We start from the raw sequence: 22,568 nt of genomic DNA on the forward strand, positions 1-22,568 counted from the left end.
CTCTGCTAAAAATACAAAATCACCTGGGCGTAGTTGTGCATTCCTGTAATCCCAGCCACGCCAGAAGCTGAGGCAGAATCGTTCGAATCCAGGAAGTGGAGGCTGCAGTGAGTTGAGATCTTGCCATTGCACTCCAGCCTGGGCAACAAGAGCGAAACTCCATCTCAAGGAAAAACAACAACAACAACAACAAAATCCTGGGCTCTGCTTCAGACTAGTTAAACCAGAATCTCCAGGGTGGGGCACCGGAAAGAACAAGAAAAAAGAACACCTTATTTTTATCTTCTTCAGTGAGCCAATGTTCATTCAAAAGAGAGATTAAAGTGCTTTTTGCTGACTAGTCACAGTCAGAGTCAGAATCACAGGTGGATTAGTAGGGAGTGTTATAAAAGCCTTGAAGTGAAAGCCCGCAGTTGTCTTACTAAGAAGAGAAGCCTTCAATGGATCCAGCTGTGGCTCTGGTGCTCTGTCTCTCCTGTTTGTTTCTCCTTTCACTCTGGAGGCAGAGCTCTGGAAGAGGGAGGCTCCCGTCTGGCCCCACTCCTCTCCCGATTATTGGAAATATCCTGCAGTTAGATGTTAAGGACATGAGCAAATCCTTAACCAATGTAAGTATGCTTTATGTTCCTCCAGTAATGTACAAGGTGTATTTAACCTCACAATTCTTAAAGTTTTATTTCATTTTAAAGTGATAAATGATAATTGTATATATTAATGGGGTACAATATTACATTTTGATACATGTATAGATTGTGAATTGATCATATCAGGGTAATTAGCATATCCATCATCTCAAATATTTGTCATTTCTTTGTAGTGAGAACATTTAAAATCCTCTTTTTTAGCTGTTTTGAAATATACAGTACATTAATATTAATTATAGTCACCTTGCTGTCCAATAGAACACCCGAGCTTATTCCTCCTATCTAAGTGTAACTCTGTACCTGTTGACCAACGTATCCCCTTATTTGGCCCATCTCCACCTGCCAGCCTCTGGTAGCCACCATTCTAATCTCTACTTCTCTGAGTTTAACTTTTTAAGATTCCACATAGAAGTGAGATCATATATGATATTTGCCTCTCTCTGCCTGGCTTATTTAATTAATATGATGTTCTGTAGATTCATCCATGCCGTCATAAATAAGAATATTTTTTCCTCTTTAAAAGGCTGAATAGCATTTCATTGTACATATATGTCACATACAAAATCCATTAATTTATTGATGAACACTTAGGTTGTTTCCATATCTTGGCTATTGTCAATAGCACTGCAATAAACATGGAAGTACAGACATGTCTTCCACATACTGACTTCAATTCCTTTGGGTATATACTGGTAGTGGGATTGCTGGATCATCTGATAGTTCTATTTTTGTTTTTTTTAGGAACATCCATACTGTTTTCTCAAATCACAATGCTAATTTACATACCCAAGGTTCACTTTATTCCACATCTTTGTCAACACTTGTTATCTTTTTATCTTTTTGATAATAATAATATCTTATCTATGAGTTGTGATGAGTTATCTCATTGTGGTTTTAATTTGCATTTCTCTGATGATTAAATTTGTTGAGTATTTAAAAAATATATCTTGGCCATTTGTATGTCTTTTTTTGAAAAATGTCTACTCAAATCCTTTGCCCATTTAATTAATTAATTAATTAATTAATTAATAGAGACAGGGTTTTGCTCTGTTGTAGGATGGAGTGTAGTGATGGGATCATGGTCCCTGCAGCCTTGAGCTCCTGGGCTCAAGCCATCCTTCTACCTTAGACCCCCAAGTAGCTGGGGCTACAGGTGTATGCCACCATGCCTGGATAATTTTTTAATGCTTTGTAGAGATGTGGTCTCATTATGTTGTCCAGGCTGGTCTTGAACTCTTGGGCTCAAGCAATCCACCCACCTTTGTCTCTCAAAGTGCTGGAATTACAGACATGAGCCATTGCACTTGACCCCTTTGCTCGTTTTAAATAGAATTATTTATTTGTTATTGAGTAATTTGAGTTTCTAAGTATTTTGGGTGGTCAGAATCTCATTTGTCTAGTTTTGCTTTCATGGCCTGTACTTTTAGGATCATATCCAAGAAATCATTGCCTAGACCAATGTCATGGAGTTTTTCTATATGGTTTCTTTCAGTAGTTTTTAGTTTCAGGTCTTATGCTTAAGGCTTTAATTCATTTTGAGTTAATTCTTGTATAAGGGTGAGATTAGGATTCTCTTTTATTCTTTGCATATGAATATCCAGTTTTCCCAACACCTTTTGCTGAAGAGTGCTTTCCCCATTGTATGTTCTTGGCACCTTTGTCAAAAATCAATTGATTATAGATGTGTGGGCTTATTTCAGGGTTCTCTACGCTTTTCCTTTAATCAGTGTGTCTATTTTTATGCTAATGCTATGCAGTTTTGCTTACTATAGCTTTGTAACATATTTTGCAGTTCAGTGGTGTGATGCCTCCAGCTTTATTCTTTTTGATTAATTTGCTTTAGTTATTTGGGGTCTTTTGTGGTTCCATACAAATTTTAAGATTTTTTTTCTATTTCTGTGAAGAATGAGATTAAAATTTTGATAGGGATTGCACTGAATCTGTATATTGCTTTGGGTAATATGGACATTTTTCCACTATTAGTTTTTCCAATCCATGAACATGGGATATCTTTGCCTTTATTTGTGTCATCTTCAATTTCTTTCATCAATGATTTGTAGTTTTCAGTATATAGATCTTTCTCTTCCTTGATTAAATTTATTCATAAGTATTTTATTTTTTGATGCTACTATAAATTAATTGTTCTCTTAATTTCTTTTTTAGATATTTTGTTGCTAGTGTATAAAAATGCCACTGATTTTTGCATGTTGATTTTTTATCCTTCAAGTTTACTGAATTTGTTTATCAGTTCTAGCACTTTTGTACTGAAGTCTTTAGATTTTCTACATATAAGATTATTTCATCAGGAAACAGACAATTTCACTTCATCCTTTCCTACATGAATACATCCTTTCCTATACGAATATTCCTATATGAATATTTTCTGTCTTTAGTCTAATTGCTCTGACTAGGACTTCCAGTACTCTGTTGAACAGAAATGGTCAGAGGGGGCATTCTTCTCTTATTTCTGATCTTAGAGGAAAAGCTTTTAGCTTTTCACCATTAAATATGATGTTAGCTGTGGGCTTGCCACATATAACCGTTAATGTCACATAGAAACTTCTGTATTACTGGAGGCCAGTTATTAAAGGTTATATGTTATAGGAACATTCCTCAGCATTCCTCCTGTACCAGCAGAGGCTGATTATTAAAGTATGCTATTGTAAAGCAAATACTTCCTGTGGAGTATGTTTTTCTTTTTTGTCATTGTCAGAAATAGTGGAATAAAATAATGCATTTTGCCAGAAGAGAAACATTTCAAGTGGTAAGGTAGAATCAAAATGATAAAGGCCTGCTGCTTTCTTTGCTTCACAGTCATTTGCTATATTTTTTTGCCTGAAGGAAAATGGTAGTGGAAGTGTTTTGTGATTAAAGATTTTGAGAAGTCAGTCACTGTATATGCTATGTATTTTGCTTAGATTAGCCATGATCATTAAACGTCTTAAAAAAGCAAATCATGCCTGATGTCAAAGAAATATCTATGAGTTCATCATAAACATAAACGAATGAAAGAAAGAATTAATTAGTCAGGGCCATCTGGGTGGTAACAGAATATTTATGGCCTCTGTACAAAGCTGCTGTCTGTGACCTATGAGTGTATAGCATGGAAAACATTTTTCCTCTGTGAGATGCCACACATCCTGATACTATCTCTGTTGGATCCACTCTCCTTCTGTGGTGATTATACCAGTGGATCTCAAAGTGGGCTGGGCAGTAGAATCATTTGGGTGATTTAAAAAGGTGTAGATTTTTTAGTATTGATGACAGGACTCCTGCATCAGGATCCCTATGGGATGAGCTTTGCAGGAGATCCTGAAGCAGTGTCCCAGCAGCTGATTATTGGTCAAAATATGGACATTAGGAACTGATAAACTGCTCAGGCTCACAGCTTGACTAAGCAGGCTTCAAATTTGGACCTTCTGTTTATCAGCTGTGGGACACTGGCAGTGAATTTGAAATTCTTTAAAATACAATCTGTCTTATCTGTAAAATAGAGTAAACAAGGTGTTGATGTGATGATTAAGTTTAATAGCCTGCATACTACTTGCTTGGCACATTGAAGGCACTGTATATGTGCAGCTAAAACAATAATCATCATCTTTGTCTAAAATATACAAATATTTGAAGCTGTATTTGACAGAATAATCATAACAACATTATGATGATAATATCAGTCTGAATCACGGACAATATATAGACCAAATACTGAGTTTTGCTACTATTTGAACCTCCTTTTCTATGTTTAGTTCTCAAAAGTCTATGGCCCTGTGTTCACTGTGTATTTTGGCCTGAAGCCCATTGTGGTGTTGCATGGATATGAAGCAGTGAAGGAGGCCCTGATTGATCATGGAGAGGAGTTTTCTGGAAGAGGAAGTTTTCCAGTGGCTGAAAAAGTTAACAAAGGACTTGGTAAATGTGCATGTATCGTGTGTATGTGTACATGTGTATGTACTGGGCAGTGGCTATAGGGATGGGGAGGATGGAAAACAGGCTTGAAGAGCTCCTGGGACAGAACTTGACCTGTCCACGTGGCTGCCGAGTGTCAGCTCTCTTGTCCTTGTTTGGATTCTCCCTCGTAGCTTCTGTTTTCTGTTCTGCTAGGAATCCTTTTCAGCAATGGAAAGAGATGGAAGGAGATCCGGCGTTTCTGCCTCATGACTCTGCGGAATTTTGGGATGGGGAAGAGGAGCATCGAGGACCGTGTTCAAGAGGAAGCCCGCTGCCTTGTGGAGGAGTTGAGAAAAACCAATGGTGGGTGACTTTTTTTTTTCCTGAAAAATGTTTTCTAAAATTTATTTTAATTTATTTTTAGATTGATACATAACTTTTATGCATATTTATGGGGTACATGTAATATTTTGTTACATGCACAGAATGTGTAATGATCAAGTTAGGTGTTTAGGATATGCATCACTTTGAGCATTTATCATTTCTATATTTTGAGAACAGACCTGTGTTCTAGCTATCTTGAAATACGCAATACTTTGACATTAACACACTGCTATGTTCTCTAATGACATCCCTGGAAACCTCCTAGGGGCAGCCAGATCTTTCATGATAGTGGTTGTCAGTCCTCATATGGAGGGTGGAGGTTTGAAGCAGAGAGCCAAGGGAGGTTTTGTGCACCTATGCTTGTTGTGTTTGTACACAATGACTATGCATACGCTGTGAGTATAAAAGGCTCATTTAATCCTATTGTGTCCCAGGCTTGGTTTGTTTTCAAATCATTACAGCATGAATTTAGAAGGTTTTGTCTCATTTTTTTCAAATTATTAAAGAGCAATGTTTTTCCCAAAGTGTAATTGTGGGTTATCTATTCTAGAACATTTCACCAGGAATACTTGTGGCACAGACATAGTGGGAATGACTTCTTTACATCTTTTGGGCATGGAACAACTGACATGTACTTTCATTTGTTTGGTCTATATTTGTACAGTCAGTCTCACTAACATGTCTGGGGGTTTATTCTAAGGTCTGTGTCTACAATTTCTACCATAATGATGCTTATCTATGGTTTTAAGAGACTAGGCATCTTTAGTGTAGCTTTTATCAATTTTAATTTCCCTGTTAATTAAGAAGTAATTAAAATTATCAGCTGGTGTTATTTAATGTTACTATTTACTGTAATGTTTTATATATTTTAAGAAAATATATGCTATAGCATAGTCTTTCAATTTAAACAAATGCCAAGTTATAAAATGTTTATTTAAATAAATTTTAAGTATTATTAATAACTCTTTATCCTACCTTCCCTAGTTGTCCATTAGCTCTGTATTCAGCTTTCTTTATATTTTCCTTCATCTTTACTTGTGTATTAATCATGTTTTTTATTTTCTATATTTTTATGAAATCTTCAACATCTTGGGGATTTTGTGGTCCTAGAAGGGACTGCTGCTCCCAAAGTCAGACAGTTCCTAGAGATAGCAAATGTCTTGTCCACAGCATGTCTCTGATTTACAAAGCACACTCTCCAGAGCCAGAGTCCCATCCACCTTCTTTACCAAACTCTCACACATGAATCCAATACAGTTGTCCCTCCTTATCAGTAAGGCATTGGTTCTAGGACTCCTCTTGGATACCAAAATCCACATATGCTCAAGTCCCTTAGATATGGCATAATATTTGCCATATATTGGAGAATATTGACAATATTATTTATAATATTTCCCAATATTAGAGAATATTGACAAGAAAAAAGGTCCGTACATGTTCTGTACAGATGCTTGTTTTTGCTCTGAATATTTTTTATTTGGGGTTGGTTGAATCCATGATACACCATGGATACAGAGTGCTGACTATATTCTCCTTGTCTTAAATTATTATAGGGCCAGTTATGGGACAACTATGGCCACCCCTATATCCCAGAGCCCACAGAAATTGTTCAAACTATCTATTCCCAGGCTTACTCAGTCTACCCTCCCTATCTCACTCATTTCTTCCTGTGAAAACCCCAATGAAGGCTCAGCCCCATGGTTTCTTTTTGCTCTTGCTGCCTCCTGACCAACCCTGGTACTTCCCCATGTGGCTCCCCGCACTCCATGGTGTGGAGTGCCCCTCCTTTAGGAACCGTGAGTAATGAACTATCTTTTCAAGGGAAGTCTGTTTTGGGGCAACCTGATCGGTTGACCTCACCATATCTAAATGGATACAAAATCCTCGGTGAATTTTAAAACAACTGGATTTGGGAGTAAAAGTTTATTTATCCTCTCCCCATCCAAGTTGGACTCACCTATAAAGTTCTTGTCATAATGAGTCTGGTTTTCAGCTTGGATTACAAATTACCCTGATTTTTATTATCTCCCTGATATAGTTTGGATGTGTGTTCCCATTCAAATCTAATATTGAAATGTAACAAACTACCAACAGAGAATACTATAAACACCTCTATGCAAATAAACTAGGAAATCTAGAAGAAATGGATAAATTTCTCGACACATACACTCTCCCAAGACTAAACCAGGAAGAAGTTGAATCTCTGAATAGACCAATAACAGTCTCTGAAATTGAGGCAATAATTAATAGCTTACCAACCAAAAAAAGTCCAGGACCAGATGGATTCACAGCCGAATTCTATCAGAGCTACAAGGTACCATTCCTTCTGAAACTATTCCAATCAATAGAAAAAGAGGGAATCCTCTCTAACTCATTTTATGAGGGCAGCATCATCCTGATACCAAAGCCTGGCAGAGACACAACAAAAAAAGAGAATTTTAGACCAATATCCTTGGTGAACATTGATGCAAAAATCCTCAATAAAATACTGGCAAACTGAATCCAGCAACACACAAAAAGCTTATCCACCATAATCAAGTAGGCTTCATCCCTGGGATGCAAGGCTGGTCCAACATATGAAAATCAATAAAAGTAATCCAGTATATAAACAGAACCAAAGACAAAAACCACATGATTATCTCAACAGATGCAGAAAAGGCCTTTGACAAAATTCAACAACCCTTCATGCTAAAAACTCAATAAATTAGGTATTGATAGGACGTATCTCAAAATAATAAGAGCTATCTATGACAAGCCCACAGCCAATATCATACTGAATGGACAAAAACTGGAAGCATTCCCTTTGAAAACTGGCACAAGACAAGGATGCCCTCTCTCACCACTCCCGTTCAACATAGTGTCGGAAGTTCTGGACAGGGCAATCAGGCAGGAGAAGGAAATAAAGGGCATTCAATTAGGAAAAGAGGAAGTCAAATTTTCGCTGTTTGCAGATAACATGATTGTATATCTAGAAAACCCCATCATCTCAGCCCAAAATCTCCTTAAGCTGATAAGCAACTTCAGTAAAGTCTCAGGATACAAAATAAATGTGCAAAATTCACAAGCATTCTTATACACCAATAGCAGACAAACAGAGAGCCAAATCATGAGTGAACTCCCATTCACAATTGCTTCAAAGAGAATAAAATACCTAGGAATCCAACTTACAAGGGATGTGAAGGACCTCTTCAAGGAGAACTACAAACCACTGCTCACTGAAATAAAAGAGGACACAAACAAATGGAAGAACATTCCATGCTCATGGGTAGGAAGAATGAATATCATGAAAATGGCCATACCACCCAAGGTAATTTATAGATTCAATGTCATCCCCATCAAGCTAACAATGACTTTCTTCACAGAATTGGAAAAAACTACTTTAAAGTTCATATGGAACCAAAAAAGAGCCCGCATTGCCAAGTCAATCCTAAGCCAAAAGAACAAAGCTGGAGGCATCACACCACCTGACTTCAAACTATACTACAAGGCTACAGTAACCAAAACAGCATGGTACTGGTACCAAAACAGAGATATAGACCAATGGAACAGAACAGAGCCCTCAGAAGTAATGCTGCATATCTACAACTATCTGATCTTTGTCAAACCTGACAAAAACAAGCAATGGGGAAAGGATTCCCTATTTAATAAATGGTGCTGGGAAAACTGGCTAGCCATATGTAGAAAGCTGAAACTGGATCCCTTCCTTACACTTGATACAAAAATTAATTCAAGATGGATTAAAGACTTAAATGTTAGACGTAAAACCATAAAAATCCTAGAAGAAAACCTAGGCAATACCATTTAGGACATAGGCATGGGCAAGGACTTCATGTCTAAAACACCAAAAACAATGGCAACAAAAGCCAAAATTGACAAATGGGATCTAATTAAACTAAAGAGCTTCTGCACAGCAAAAGAAACCACCATGAGAATGAACAAGCAACCTACTGAATGGGAGAAAAATTTTGCAACCTACTCATCTGACAAAGGGCTAATATCCAGAATCACAATGAACTCAAACAAATTTACAAGAAAAAAAAAAGATCCCCATCAAAAAGTGGGCAAAGGATATGAGCAGACAATTCTCAAAAGAAGACATTTATGCAGCCAAAAACACATGAAAAATGCTCATCATCACTGGCCATCAGAGAAATGCAAATCAAAACCACAATGAGATATCATCTCACACCAGTTAGAATGGCGATCATTAAAAAGTCAGGAAGCAACAGGTGCTGGAGAGGATGTGGAGAAATAGGAACACTTTTACACTGTTGGTGGGACTGTAAACTAGTTTAACCATTGTGGAAGTCAGTGTGGCGATTCCTCAGGGATCTAGAACTAGAAATGCCATATGACCCAGCCATCCCATTACTGGGTATATACCCAAAGGATTATAAATTATGCTGCTATAAAGACACATGCACAGGTATGTTTATTGCGGCACTATTCACAATAACAAAGACTTGGAACCAACCCAAGTGTCCAACAACGATAGACTGGATTAAGAAAATGTGGCACATATACACCATGGAATACTATGCAGCCATAAAAAATGATGAGTTCATGTCCTTTGTAAGGACATGAATGAAGCTGGAAACCATCATTCTGAGCAAACTATCGCAAGACCAAACATCACATGTTCTCACTCATAGGTGGGAATTGAACAATGAGAACACATGGACACAGGAAGGGGAACATCACACACCAGGGCCTGTTGTGGGGTGGGGGAAGGGGGGAGGGATAGCATTAGGAGATATATCTAATGCTAAATGACGAGTTAATGGGTGCAGCACACCAACATGGCACACGTATACATATGTAACAAACCTGCACGTTGTGCACATGTACCCTAAAATTTAAAGTATATAAAAAAAAGTGTAATCCCCCATATTGGAGGTGGGGCCTTGTGAGAGGTGATTGGATCATGGGGGTGGATTTTTCATGAATAGTTTAGTACCATCCCTTTTGGTACTGTCCTCATGATAGCAAGTGAGTTTTCATGAAATCTAAAGTGTGTAGCACCTCCCACCTCCCTTTTTTGCTTTGACTTTTGCCATGTGAGTGAAAGCTCCTGTTTTGCCTTCTGCCGTGATTGCATCACGCTTCCTGTACAGCCTGCAGAACTAGGAGCCAATTAAACCTCTTTTCTTATAAATTACCTAGTCTCAGGTATTTCTTTATAGCAATGCAAGAACAGCCTAATATACTTCCCCACATGAAGTGAAAGGAAAGACCAGAAACCAGATTTTCACTACATCATGTTCATATGCATGCACAAACACACTTGCATGCATGCATGCACACACACACAGAAATCTCTAACTAATAATCCAAAATTATCCCCTGCCTTCCAGGCTAAAATAAAAGATTTTCTGAAAACTTCATCCCTTGGCATGTTTCAGCTGAAAAGAAGCCTGGCATAGGAGCAGTTAACTAAACAGGGTCCCATTATTTAATTCCCCATCATTACCGCACAACATTTTTGTTCAAGTCACTCTTAATTACATTCATGATACTCTCACATGTAAAGTTCATTGATGATTTGATTATAACAATTTTATTTAAAAATTGCCCTTTCCTCTTATTGCCCTTACATTTCAGTATGAGATTTGAAGGGAACACACATCCAAACTGTATCAGGGAGATAATAAAAATCAGGGTAATTTGTAATCCAAGCTGAAAATCAGCTTTCCTCTATAGTAATTTATTGATTTGTAATATGATGGAATTACCTAAATGATGATCAAATTAAAAAGTTTATAATAACATAAGGTATTTTTTTGATGGCTAGATAGAACAATAACCGAGGATTCTATAAGAGGTCAGGCTTTGTTCAAATAAATTGAAGATAGTGCCTGGTGATAATAGACACCATTTCTTAGAGCAGGAAATTCCTTTTTTTTCTTTGAATATTGAAATAAGGAAATAAAAGGACTCCATCTGTCAATTTAACTTTTTCTGTCTGCTCTATTTGTAGTTTAGGTTTGAAATGAAAGTTTCTTATTACTTTTATTTTAGGCAAACCAATCTATCTTCTTATTTGTGTTAATTTGTGTTAGATTTTTTCTTGTATAACATAGATGACTTTTGCCTGTTTACATTTGTTCCATCAACCTGAATTTTCCCATACCCTTTCTGTCTTTAGTCTCCCCCTCTGCTGGTACTACACACAGTTACTTTAACTACTCGTTATATAGAAGATGTTTTCTGGTTCCTATTTTCTCCCTTCCTCTATCAATCAATTGTCTACAAGCTTTTCAGACAGATGTTATTTTGCACTGATGACCTGAATTATTAGGTGGTTTTAAATGTGGCCTCTTTAATTTTTTTTGTTTTCTCTTCAAAATAACAGGCATCTTGGGTCAGAATTGTGTAAAGAAAGGCAGTGCGGTAAATGCAGTATTTGGAAAACCATTATTAAACAAGCTAGGGTGGAATGATTAATTCAGTTTTAAGGAAAAAGTGAGGTATTAAATTTCAATATGCTGTAGTTTGTGTTGATAAGAGAATTTCTAGGTAGGTATTGGTTTAGAGTTTCTAAAAATACTTTTTCCTGTATCAAAGACAAAGTATTTTATATGTATATTTTAATGGTAATTTAAAATATTTCCAATCCTTTAGCCTCACCCTGTGATCCCACTTTCATCCTGGGCTGTGCTCCCTGCAATGTGATCTGCTCTGTTATTTTCCATGATCGATTTGATTATAAAGATCAGAGGTTTCTTAACTTGATGGAAAAATTCAATGAAAACCTCAGGATTCTGAGCTCTCCATGGATCCAGGTGAGATCAAGAGCTTCTCTTCCTGAGATATTATTTTTGTTATTTTATCAGACAGTCCAATTTTTTTAATTTTTTAAAATTATACTTTAAGTTCTGGGATATGTGTGCAGAATGGGCAGGTTTGTCACATGGGTATACATGTGCCATGGTGGTTTGCTGCACCCATTAACCCGTCATCTATATTAGGTATTTCTCCTAATGCTATCCCTCCCTTTACCCCCAATCACCCAACAGGCCCTGGTGTGTGATGTTCCCCTCCCTGTGCCCATGTGTTCTCATTGTTCACCTCCCACTTAAGAGTGAAAACATGCAGTGTTTGGTTTTCTGTTCCTGTGTTAGTTTGCTGAGAATGATGGTTTCCAGCTTCATCCATGTCCCGGCCAAGGACATGAACTCTCTCAGCATTTGCTTGTCTGTAAAGGATTTTATTTCCCCTTCACTTATGAAGCTTAGTTTGGCTGGATGTGAAATGCTGGGTTGAGGCAGAAGACAGATGATTTCTGCATTTCCAACTGAGGTACTGGGTTCATCTCACTAGGCAGTGTCAAACAGTGGGTACAGGACAGTGGGTGCAGCACAATGAGCATGAGCCAAAGCAGGGTGAGGCATTGCCTCACCCGGGAAGCACAAGGGGTCAGGGAATTCCCTTTCCTAGTCAAAGAAAGGGGTGACAGATGGCACCTGGAAAATCGGGTCACTCCCACCCTAATATGGTGCTTTTCCAATGATCTTAGCAAATGGCACACCAGGAGATTATATCCTTTGCATAGCTCAGAGGGTCCTACACCCATGAAACCTCACTCATTGATAGCACAGCAGTCTGAGATCAAACTGCAAGATGGCAATGAGGCTGGGGGAGGGGGGCCTGCCATTACTGAGGCTTGAGTAGGTAAACAAAGTGGCCGGGAAGCTGGAACTGGGTGGAGCCCACCGCAGCTCAAGGAGGCCTGCCTGCCTCTGTAGACTCCACCTCTGGGGGCAGGGCATAGCCAAACAAAAGGCAGCAGAAAACTCTGCAGACTTAAATGTCCCTGTCTGACAGCTTTGAAGAGAGTAGTGGTTCTCCCAGCACACAGCTGGAGATCTGAGAACGGACAGACTGCGTCTTAAGTGGGTCCCTGACCCCCCAGTAGCCTAACTGGGAGGCACACCCCAGTAGGGGCAGACTGACACCTCACATGGCTGGGTACTCCTCTGAGACAAAACTTCCAGAGGAACGATCAGGTAGCAACATTTGCTGTTCACCAATATCTGCTATTCTGCAACCTCTGCTGCTGATACCTGGGCAAACAGGTCTGGAGTGGATCTCCAGCAAACTCCAACAGACCTGCAGCTGAGGGTCTTGACTGTTAGAAGGAAAACTAACAAATAGAAAGGACATCCACACCAAAACCCCATCTGTACGTCACCATCATCAAAGACCAAAGGTAGATAAAACCACAAAGATGGGGAAAAAACAGAGCCGAAAAACTGGAAACTCTAAAAATCAGAGTGCCTCTCCTCCCCCAAAGGAATGCAGCTCCTCACCAGCAACAGAACAAAGCTGGACAGAGAATGACTTTGACGAGTTGAGAGAAGAAGACTTCAGACGATCAAACTACTCCAAGCTAAAGCAGGAAGTTCAAACCCATGGCAAAGAAGTTAAAAACCTTGAAAAAAAATTAGATGAATGGCTAACTAGAATAACCAATGCAGAAAAGTCCTTAAAGGACCTGATGGAGCTGAAAACCACGGCCCGAGAATTATGTGATGAATGCACAAGCCTCAGTAGCCGATTTGATCAACTGGAAGAAAGGGTATCAGTGGTGGAAGATCAAATTAATGAAATGAAGTGAGAAGAGAAGTTTAGCAAAAAAAGAATAAGAAGAAATGAACAAAGCCTCCAAGAAATATAGGACTATGTGAAAAGACCAAATCTATGTCTGATTGGTGTACCTGAAAGTGACGGGGAGAATGGAACCAAGTTGGAAAACACTCTGCACGATATTATCCAGGAGAACTTCCCCAATCTAGCAAGGCAGGCCAATATTCAAATTCAGGAAATACAGAGAATGCCACAAAGATACTCCTCGGGAAGAGCAACTCCAAGACACATAATTGTCAGATTCACCGAAGTTGAAATGAAGGAAAAAATGTTAAGGGCAGCCAGAGAGAAAGCTTGGGTTACCCACAAAGGGAAGCCCATCAGACTAACAGCTGATCTCTCAGCAGAAACTCTACAAGCTAGAAGAGAATGGGGGCCAATATTCAACATTCTTAAAGAAAAGAATTTTCAACCCAGAATTTCATATCCAGCCAAACTAAGCTTCATAAGTGAAGGAGAAATAAAATCATTTATAGACAAGCAAATGCTGAGAGATTTTGTCACCACCACGCCTGCCCTACAAGAGCTCCTGAAGGAAGCACTAAACATGGAAAGGAACAAACAGTACCAGCCACTGCAAAAACATACCAAATTGTAAAGACCATCGAGGCTGGGAAGAAACTGCATCAACTAACGAGCAAAATAACCAACTAACATCATAATGACAGGATCAAATTCACACATAACAATATTAACCTTAAATGTAAATGGGTTAAATGCTCCAATTAAAAGACACAGACTGGCAAATTGGATAAAGAGTCAAGATCCATCAGTGTGCTGTATTCAGGAGAACAATCTCATGTACAGAGACATACATAGGCTCAAAATAAAGGGATGGAGGAAGATCTACCAAGCAAATGGAAAACAAGGAAAGGCAGGGGTTGCAATCCTAGTCTCTGATAAAACAGACTTTAAACCAACAAAGATCAAAAGAGACAAACAAGGCCATTACATAATGGTAAAGGGATCAATTCAACAAGAAGAGCTAACGATCCTAAATATATATGCACCCAATACAGGAGCATCCAGATTCATAAAGCAAGTCCTTAGAGACCTACGAAGAGACTTAGACTCCCACACAATAATAATGGGAGACTTTAACACCCCACTGTCAACATTAGACAGATCAAGGAGACAGAAGGTTAACAAGGATATCCAGGAACTGAACTCAGCTCTGCACCAAGCAGACCTAATAGACATCTGCAGAACTCTCCACCCCAAATCAACAGAATATACATTCTTTTCAGCACCACACCACACTTATTCCAAAATTGACCACATAGTTGGAAGTAAAGCACTCCTCAGCAAATGTAAGAGAACAGAAATTATAACAAACTGTCTCTCAGACCATGGTGCAATCAAACTAGAACTCAGGATTAAGAAACTCACTCAAAACCCCTCAACTACATGGAAACTGAACAAACTGCTCCTGAATGACTACTGGTACATAATGAAATGAAGGCAGAAATAAAAATGTTCTTTGAAACCAATGAGAACAAAGACACAACATACCAGAATCTCTGGGACATATTCAAAGCAGTGTGTAGAGGGAAATGTATAGCACTAAATGCCCACAAGAGAAAGCAGGAAAGATCTAAAAATGACATGCTAACATCACAATTTAAAAAACTAGAGAAGCAAGAGCAAACACATTCAAAAGCTAGCAGAAGGCAAGAAATAACTAAGATCAGAGCAGAACTGAAGGAGATAGAGATGCAAAAAACCCTTCAAAAAATCAATGAATCCAGGAGCTGGTTTTTTTAAAAGATCAACAAAATTGATAGACCACTAGCAAGACTAATAAAGAAGAAAAGAGAAGAATCAGTTAGATGCAATAAAAAATGATAAAGGGGATATCACCACCAATCCCACAGAAACACAAACTACCATCAGAGAATACTACAAACACCTCTATGCAAATACACTAGAAAATCTAGAAGAAAAGAATAAATTCCTCGACACATACACCCTCCCAAAAATAAACCAGGAAGAAGTTGAATCCCTGAATAGACCAATAACAGGCTCTGAAATTGAGGCAATAGTTAATAACTTACCAACCAAAAAAAGTTCAGGACCAGATGGACTCACAGCTGAATTCTATCATAGGTACAAGGAGGAGCTGGTACCATTCCTTCTGAAACTATTCCAATCAATAGAAAAAGAGGGAATCCTCCCTAATGCATTTGGTGAGGCCAGCATCATACTGATACCAAAGCCTGGCAGAGACACAACAAAAAAAGAGAACTTTAGACCAATATCCCTGATGAACATCGATGCAAAAATCCTCAACAAAATACTGGCAAACCGAATCCAGCAGCACATCAAAAAGCTTATCCACTATGATGAAGTGGGCTTCATCCCTGGGATGCAAGGCTGGTTCAACATACACAAATCAATAAACGTAATCCAGCATATAAATAGAACCAAAGACAAAAACCACATGATTACCTCAATAGATGCAGAAAAGGCCTTTGACAAAATTCAACAACCCTTCATGCTAAAAACTTTCAATAAATTAGGTATTGATGGGATGTATCTGAAAATAATAAGAGCTATCTATGACAAACCCAAAGCTGATCATACCGAATGGGCACAAACTGGAAGCATTCCCTTTGAAAACAGGCACAAGACAGGGATGCCCTCTCTCATCACTCCTATTCAACTAGTGTTGGAGGTTCTGGCCAGGGCAATCAGGCAGGAGAAGGAAATAAAAAATATTCAATTAGTAAAGGAGGAAGTAAAATTTTCCCTGTTTGCAGATGACATGATTGTATATTTAGAAAACCCCATTGTCTCAGCCCAAAATCTCCTTAAGCTGACAAGCAACTTCAGCAAGGTCTCAGGATACAAAATAAATGTGCAAAATTCACAAGCATTCTTATACACCAATAACAGAGAAACAGAGAGCCAAATCATGAGTGAACTCCCATTCAAAATTGCTTCAAAGAGAATAAAACACCTAGGAATCCAACTTCCAAGGGATGTGAAGGACCTCTTCAAGGAGAACCAGAAACCACTCCTCAATGAAATAAAAGAGGACACAAACAAATGGAGGAACATTTCTTGCTCATGGGTAGGAAGAATCAATATCATGAAGACGGCCATACTGCCCAAGGTAATTTATAGATTCAATGTCATTTCCATCAATCTACCAATGACTTTCTGCACAGAATTGGAAAAAACTACTTTAAAGTTCATATGGAACCAAAAAAGAGCCCGCATTGCCAAGTCAATCCTAAGCCGAAAGAACAAAGCTGGAGGCATCACACTACCTGACTTCAAACTATACTACAAGGCTACAGTAAGCAAAACAGCATGGTACTGCTACCAAAACAGAGATATAGACCAATGGAACAGAACAGAGCCCTCAGAAATAATGCCACATATCTACAACCATCTGATCTTTGACAAACCTGACAAAAACAAGCAATGGGGAGAGGATTCCCTATTTAATAAATGGTGCTGGTAAAACTGGCTAGCCATATGTAGAAAGCTGAAACTGGATGCCTTCCTTACACCTTATAGAACAATTCAAGATGGATTCAATACTTAAATGTTAGACCTAAAACCATAAAAACCGTAGAAGAAAACCTAGGCAATACCATTCAGGACAGAGGCATGGGCAAGGACTTCATGTCTGGAATACCAAAAGCAATGGCAACAAAAGCCAAATTTGACAAATGGATCTAATTAAACTAAAGAGCTTCTGCACAGCAAAACAAACCACCATCAGAGTGAACAGGCAACCTACAGAATGGGAGAAAATTTTTGCAATCTACTCATCTGACAAAAGGCTAATATCCAGAATCTACAATGAACTCAAACTAATTTACAAGAAAAAAAGAACCCCATCAAAAAGTGGGCAAAGGTTATGAACAGACACTTCTCAAAAGAAGACAGTTATGCAGCCAAAGGACACATGAAAAAATGCTCATCATCACTGGCCATCAGAGAAATGCAAATCAAACCACAATGAGATACCATCTCACACCAATTAGAATGGTGATCATTAAAAAGTCAGGAAACAACAGGTGCTGGAGAGGATATGGAGAAATAGGTACAGTTTTACACTGTTGGTGGGACTGTAAACTAGTTCAACCATTGTGGAAGTCAGTGTGATGATTCCTCAGTGATCTAGAAATAGAAGTACCATTTGACCCAGCCTTCCCATTACTGGGTATATACCCAAAGGATTATAAAACATGCTACTATAAAGACACATGCACACATATGTTTATTGTGGCATTATTCACAATAGCAAAGACTTGGAACCACACCAAATATCCAACAATGATAGATTGGATTAAGAAAATATGGCACATATACACCATGGAATACTATGCAGCCATAAAAAATGATGAGTTCATGTCCTTTGTAAGGACATGGATGAAGCTGGAAACCATAATTCTCAGCAAACTATCGCAAGGACAAAAAACCAAACACTGCATGTTCTCACTTATAGGTGGGAATTGAACAGTGAGAACACACGGACACGGGAAGGGGAACATCACACACTGGGGCCTGTTGTGGGGCGGGGAAAGGGGGAGGGATAGCATTAGGAGATACACCTAATGTTAAATGAAGAGTTAATGGGTGCAGCACACCAACATGGCACATGTATACATATGTAACAAACCTGCACGTTGTGCACATGTACCCTAAAACTTAAAGTATAATAAAAAATAATTAAAAAAAGAAATTCCTCTCCACCTCTACCACACAGTCTCAGAGTGTACACAGTTGTTCCCAGTTTCCCATGATTGGGAAGGACTCAAACACTATGATGGCAGGTCAACTTTCTGTCATCTTGTCCAAGGGAAAAGCACACTAAGCTGGGAGTGAATGAGCCTGACCTAAACAGCAGCAGAGAGAATGAGGTGGAGAGGAGAAGGAAGAGGATAGTTAGGAGAAGTCTGAAGCCTATAGCTTAGAGAGTGTCTTCCTCATGAAAAATTGCACTCACTGGGCAGTGGCATTACAGAAACAGGCTTAATTTGGATTAATCTTTCTGTAAATCTGTATTGAGAATTGTTTCATAAAACAATGTCACTGGTAAAAAAAAAATAAAAAAGAAATTCTTGGTTGAAAATTCTTTTCTTTAAAAATGTTGAATAGTGGCCCCCACTCTCTTCTGGCTTGTCTGGTGTCTGCACAGAGATCTGCTGTTAGTCTAATGGGCTTCCCTTTGTGGGCAACCTAACCTTTCTCTCTGGCTGCCCTCAATATTTTTTCCGTCATTTCAACCTTGGTGCATATGATGATTGTGTGTCTTGGGGTTGCTATTCTCGAGGAGTATCTTTGTGATGTTCCTGTATTTCCTGAATTTGAATGTTGGCCTGTCTTGCTAGGTTGGGGAAGTTCTCCTGGATAGTATCCTGAAGCGTGTTTTCCAACTTGGTTCCATTCTCCCCGTCACTTTCAGATACACCAATCAAACATATGTTTGGTCTTTTCACTTAGTCCCATATTTCCTGGAGGCTTTGTTCGCTCCTTTTCATTCTTTTTTCTCTAATCTTGTATTCTCACTTTATTTCATTAAGTTGATCTTCAATGTCTGTTATCCTTTCTTCTGCTTGATCAATTTGGCTATTGATAGTTGTGTATGCTTCATGAAGTTCTTGTGCTTTGTTTTTCAACTCCATCAGGTCATTTATGTTCTTCTTGAAACTGGTTATTCTAGTTAGCAATTCCTCTTTTTATCAAGGTTCTTAGTTCCCTTGCATTGAGTTAGAACATACTCCTTGAGCTTGGAGGAGTTTGTTATTACACATCTTCTGAAGCCTACTTCTGTCAGTTTGTCAAACTCATTCTCCATCCAGTTTTGTTCCCTTGCTGTTGAGGAGTTGTGATCCTTTGGAGGAGAAGAGGCATTCTGGTTTTTGGAATTTTTAGTCTTTTTGTGCTGGTTTTTCCTCATCTTCATGGATTTATCTACCTTTGGTCTTTGCTGTTGGTGACCTTCGGATGGAGTTTTTGCATGGTCGTCCATTTTGTTGATTTTGATGTTATTGCTTTCTGTTTGTTAGTTTTCCTCCTAACAGTCAGGCCCCTCTTCTGCAGGTCTGCTGGAGTTTGCTGGGGGTCCACTCCAGACCCTGTTTGCCTGGGTATCACCAGCAGCGGCTGCAGAACAGCAAAGATTGCTGCCTGCTCCTTCCTCTGGAAGCTTCATCCTGGTGGGGCACCAGCCAGATGCCACCCAGAGTTCTCCTGTATGACATATCTGTCAAACCGTGCTGGGAGGTGTCTCCCTCTCAGGAGGCTCAGGGGTCAGGGACCCACTTGAGGAGGCAGTCTGTCCCTTAGCAGAGCTTGAGGGCTAGGCTGGGAGATCTGCTGCTCTCTTCAGGGCCATCAGGCAGAAACGTTTAAGTCTGCTGAAGCTGGGCCCACAGCCACCCCTTCCTCCAGGTGCTCTGTCCTAGGAAGAGGTGGTTTTATCTATAGTCCCCTACTGGGGCTGCTGCCTTTATTTCACAGATGCCATGCCCAGAGAGGAGGAGTCTAGAGAGACAGTCTGGCTACAGGGGCTTTGTGGTGCTGCGGTGGGCACTGCCCAGACTCATCTTCCCAGAGGTTTTGTTTACACTGTGAGGGGAAAACCGCCTACTCACACCTCAGTAATGGTGGACTCCCCTCCCTCCCATCAAGCTTGAGCATCCGAGGTCGACTTCAGACTGCTGTGCTGGCAGTGAGAATTTCAAGCTAGTGGATCTTAGCTTGCTGGGCCCCATGAGGGTGGGATCCTGTGAGCTAGACCACTTGGCTCCCTGGCTTCAGCCCCCTTTCCAGGGGAGTGAATGGTTCTGTCTCACTGGAATTCAGGTGCCACTGGGGTATGAAAAAAAGACTTTTGTAGCTAGCTTGGTGTCTGGCCAAGTGGCCACCCAGTTTTGTGCTTGAAACCCAGGGCCCTTGTGGTGTAGGCATCTGAAGGAATCTCCTAGTTTGTGGGTTGCGACAGGTTGCGAAGACCGTGGGAAAATTGTAGTATCTGGGCTGGATAGCACTGTCCCTCATGGCTTCCCTTGGCTAGGGGAGGGAGTTCCCCAACCCGTTGTGCTTCCTGGGTGAGCCAATTCCCTACCCTGCTTCTGTTTGCCATCCGTGGGCTGCACCCACTGTCTAACTAGTCCCAGTGAGATGAACCGGGCACCTCAGTTGGAAATGCAGAAATCACGGGCCTTCTGCATTGGTCTCGTTGGGAACCACAGACTGGAGCTGTTCTTATTTGGCCATCTTGCCCCAATCCCAGTCCAGAACTTTGTATGTACCAAGCTGTGAAGTGAATGTTTGAAAACTGGAAATTTTGGATACTCTTATATAGTAGCTCTGGAAATCAGAGTCTTTCCTCTCTTTAGGGTGTTTTGTTGCCTGCTATAGTTTTTATTTTTTTTCTTCTGAAGGCTATAGCTTCCTTTAGTGACTTTTCAAAACTATTTTTGCAAGTCATGTGTGGTTTCTGAAGTCTTTTCTTTAGCGTATGTTCAGCTAATTTTGACAGAAATTTTCTTGAATGTGGAGAGGCAAAAAAGAGACATAGAAAAAATATATGTATTTATATATATAAATAGCAGAAGAAAGATGGAAGGAAGTAAGGAAAGGAAGGAAGGAGGAAAGGAATGAAGGAAGAAAGGAAGGAAGGAAGGTCTTTCAGATTGGCTGGAGCACTCCTTGTCATAGCCTTCACTTACTGCTTAAGTTGAGCCTGGATATCAGCCAGAGGTGAAAGTTCAGGATCTTCTCACATTTTTCTAACTAGCCTGTCCCGCTCTGGGCATGTTGATAACTTTCTAAATTTCTTAGTATACATAGGCACTTTTGAACATCCCATTTTCCAAAGAAACTGTCTCCCAGCTTTTATTCTCAGGATTTTAGTGCTCTACTGTGTGCCTTAACTATAATCGTTTGCCCTAGGTAGCTTTGGGTTGTTCATTTGTCTTAGGAGATTTTTGAGAAATGTCCATTGCTTTTCCATCCTGAGTGAGTTTTGAATCAGGTGAAACAAAGATGACTGCCTCGTGTTAGCCCGTGTTAGTCCTCAGACAGGTGAGAAAGAGAAACATAATTTTTTGCAAGTAAGGTCTTCTGTGGTCCCTCTGTAAATAGGAACCAGGGCCTTCCACTGCGAGCAGGGCTGCCCTTGACAAGATCACTGCCAAGCTGATGAGGGAGGTGGTACAAGTGCAAATAAACATACCACAAAGCTTACATATGCATCATGGAATACTATGTAGCCATAAAAAGGAATGAGATTATGTCCTTTGCAGGGACACAGATGGAGCTGGAAGCCATTATCATCAGCAAACTAATGCAGGAGCAGAAAACCAAGCACCACATGTTCTCATTCATAAGTGGGAGCTGAACAAGGAGAACACATGGACCCAGGGAGGGGAACAACACACACTAGGGCCTGTCCGGGGTGTTGGTGGAGGGAGAGCATTAGGAAAAATAGCTAATGTGTGCGGGGCTTAATACCTAGGTGAAGAGTTTATAGGTGCAGTAAACCACCATGGCACACATTTACCTATGTAACAAACCTGCACATCCTGCACGTGCACCTTGGAGCTTAAAATAAAAATAAAAACCCACAAAGCTTTTCTACTGTTTTTAAGTTGCCATTTTTTTTATTCAGTTCTCCCTTGTTTGCTATAAACCTTTGACTGATTTCCAGAGTTCTGTTAGAGTTGATTCTGACTTTTTTGTTTGAATTTTTGGGTGTTTTTATGGAGAGATGGGCCCATGGAACTGTCTATTGTGCCAATTTTGCGGGCATTATTCTGTGAAGTGAGTGGTTGAACACTACAGCTTGCCCATATCTTAGCATTGTGGCATTAACATCTGGGAAAGATAGATGATTTCTTTATTTTACAGATGAGAAAAGAAATGCCTGAATATAGAGCTGGAATTCAAGCCCATTAGCTGGTGGTTTTTCCCACCAAACCCCCAAATCCAGTTTCTGGCAGTACTTTGGTGACTGCCCAAAAGCACACACTCAATGGAAAT

General features: G+C 39.6%; 1 protein-coding gene across 2 annotated transcripts in view; it reads left to right on the forward strand.

Moving 5' to 3' along the window:
* Positions 350–22,568, forward strand: part of CYP2C18 (cytochrome P450 family 2 subfamily C member 18) — a 52,462-nt gene continuing 30,243 nt past the window's right edge. For both annotated transcript variants that reach the window (NM_000772.3, NM_001128925.2), the window contains exons 1-4: positions 350–608; positions 4,391–4,553; positions 4,746–4,895; positions 11,538–11,698. In NM_000772.3, coding sequence (NP_000763.1) covers positions 441–608; positions 4,391–4,553; positions 4,746–4,895; positions 11,538–11,698 — 642 coding nt within the window. In that variant the 5' untranslated portion in view covers positions 350–440. The remainder of the gene's footprint in view (positions 609–4,390; positions 4,554–4,745; positions 4,896–11,537; positions 11,699–22,568) is intronic.

The sequence above is a fragment of the Homo sapiens genome, chromosome 10, assembly GCF_000001405.40.
Source record: "Homo sapiens chromosome 10, GRCh38.p14 Primary Assembly".
Lineage (NCBI taxonomy): Eukaryota > Metazoa > Chordata > Mammalia > Primates > Hominidae > Homo > Homo sapiens.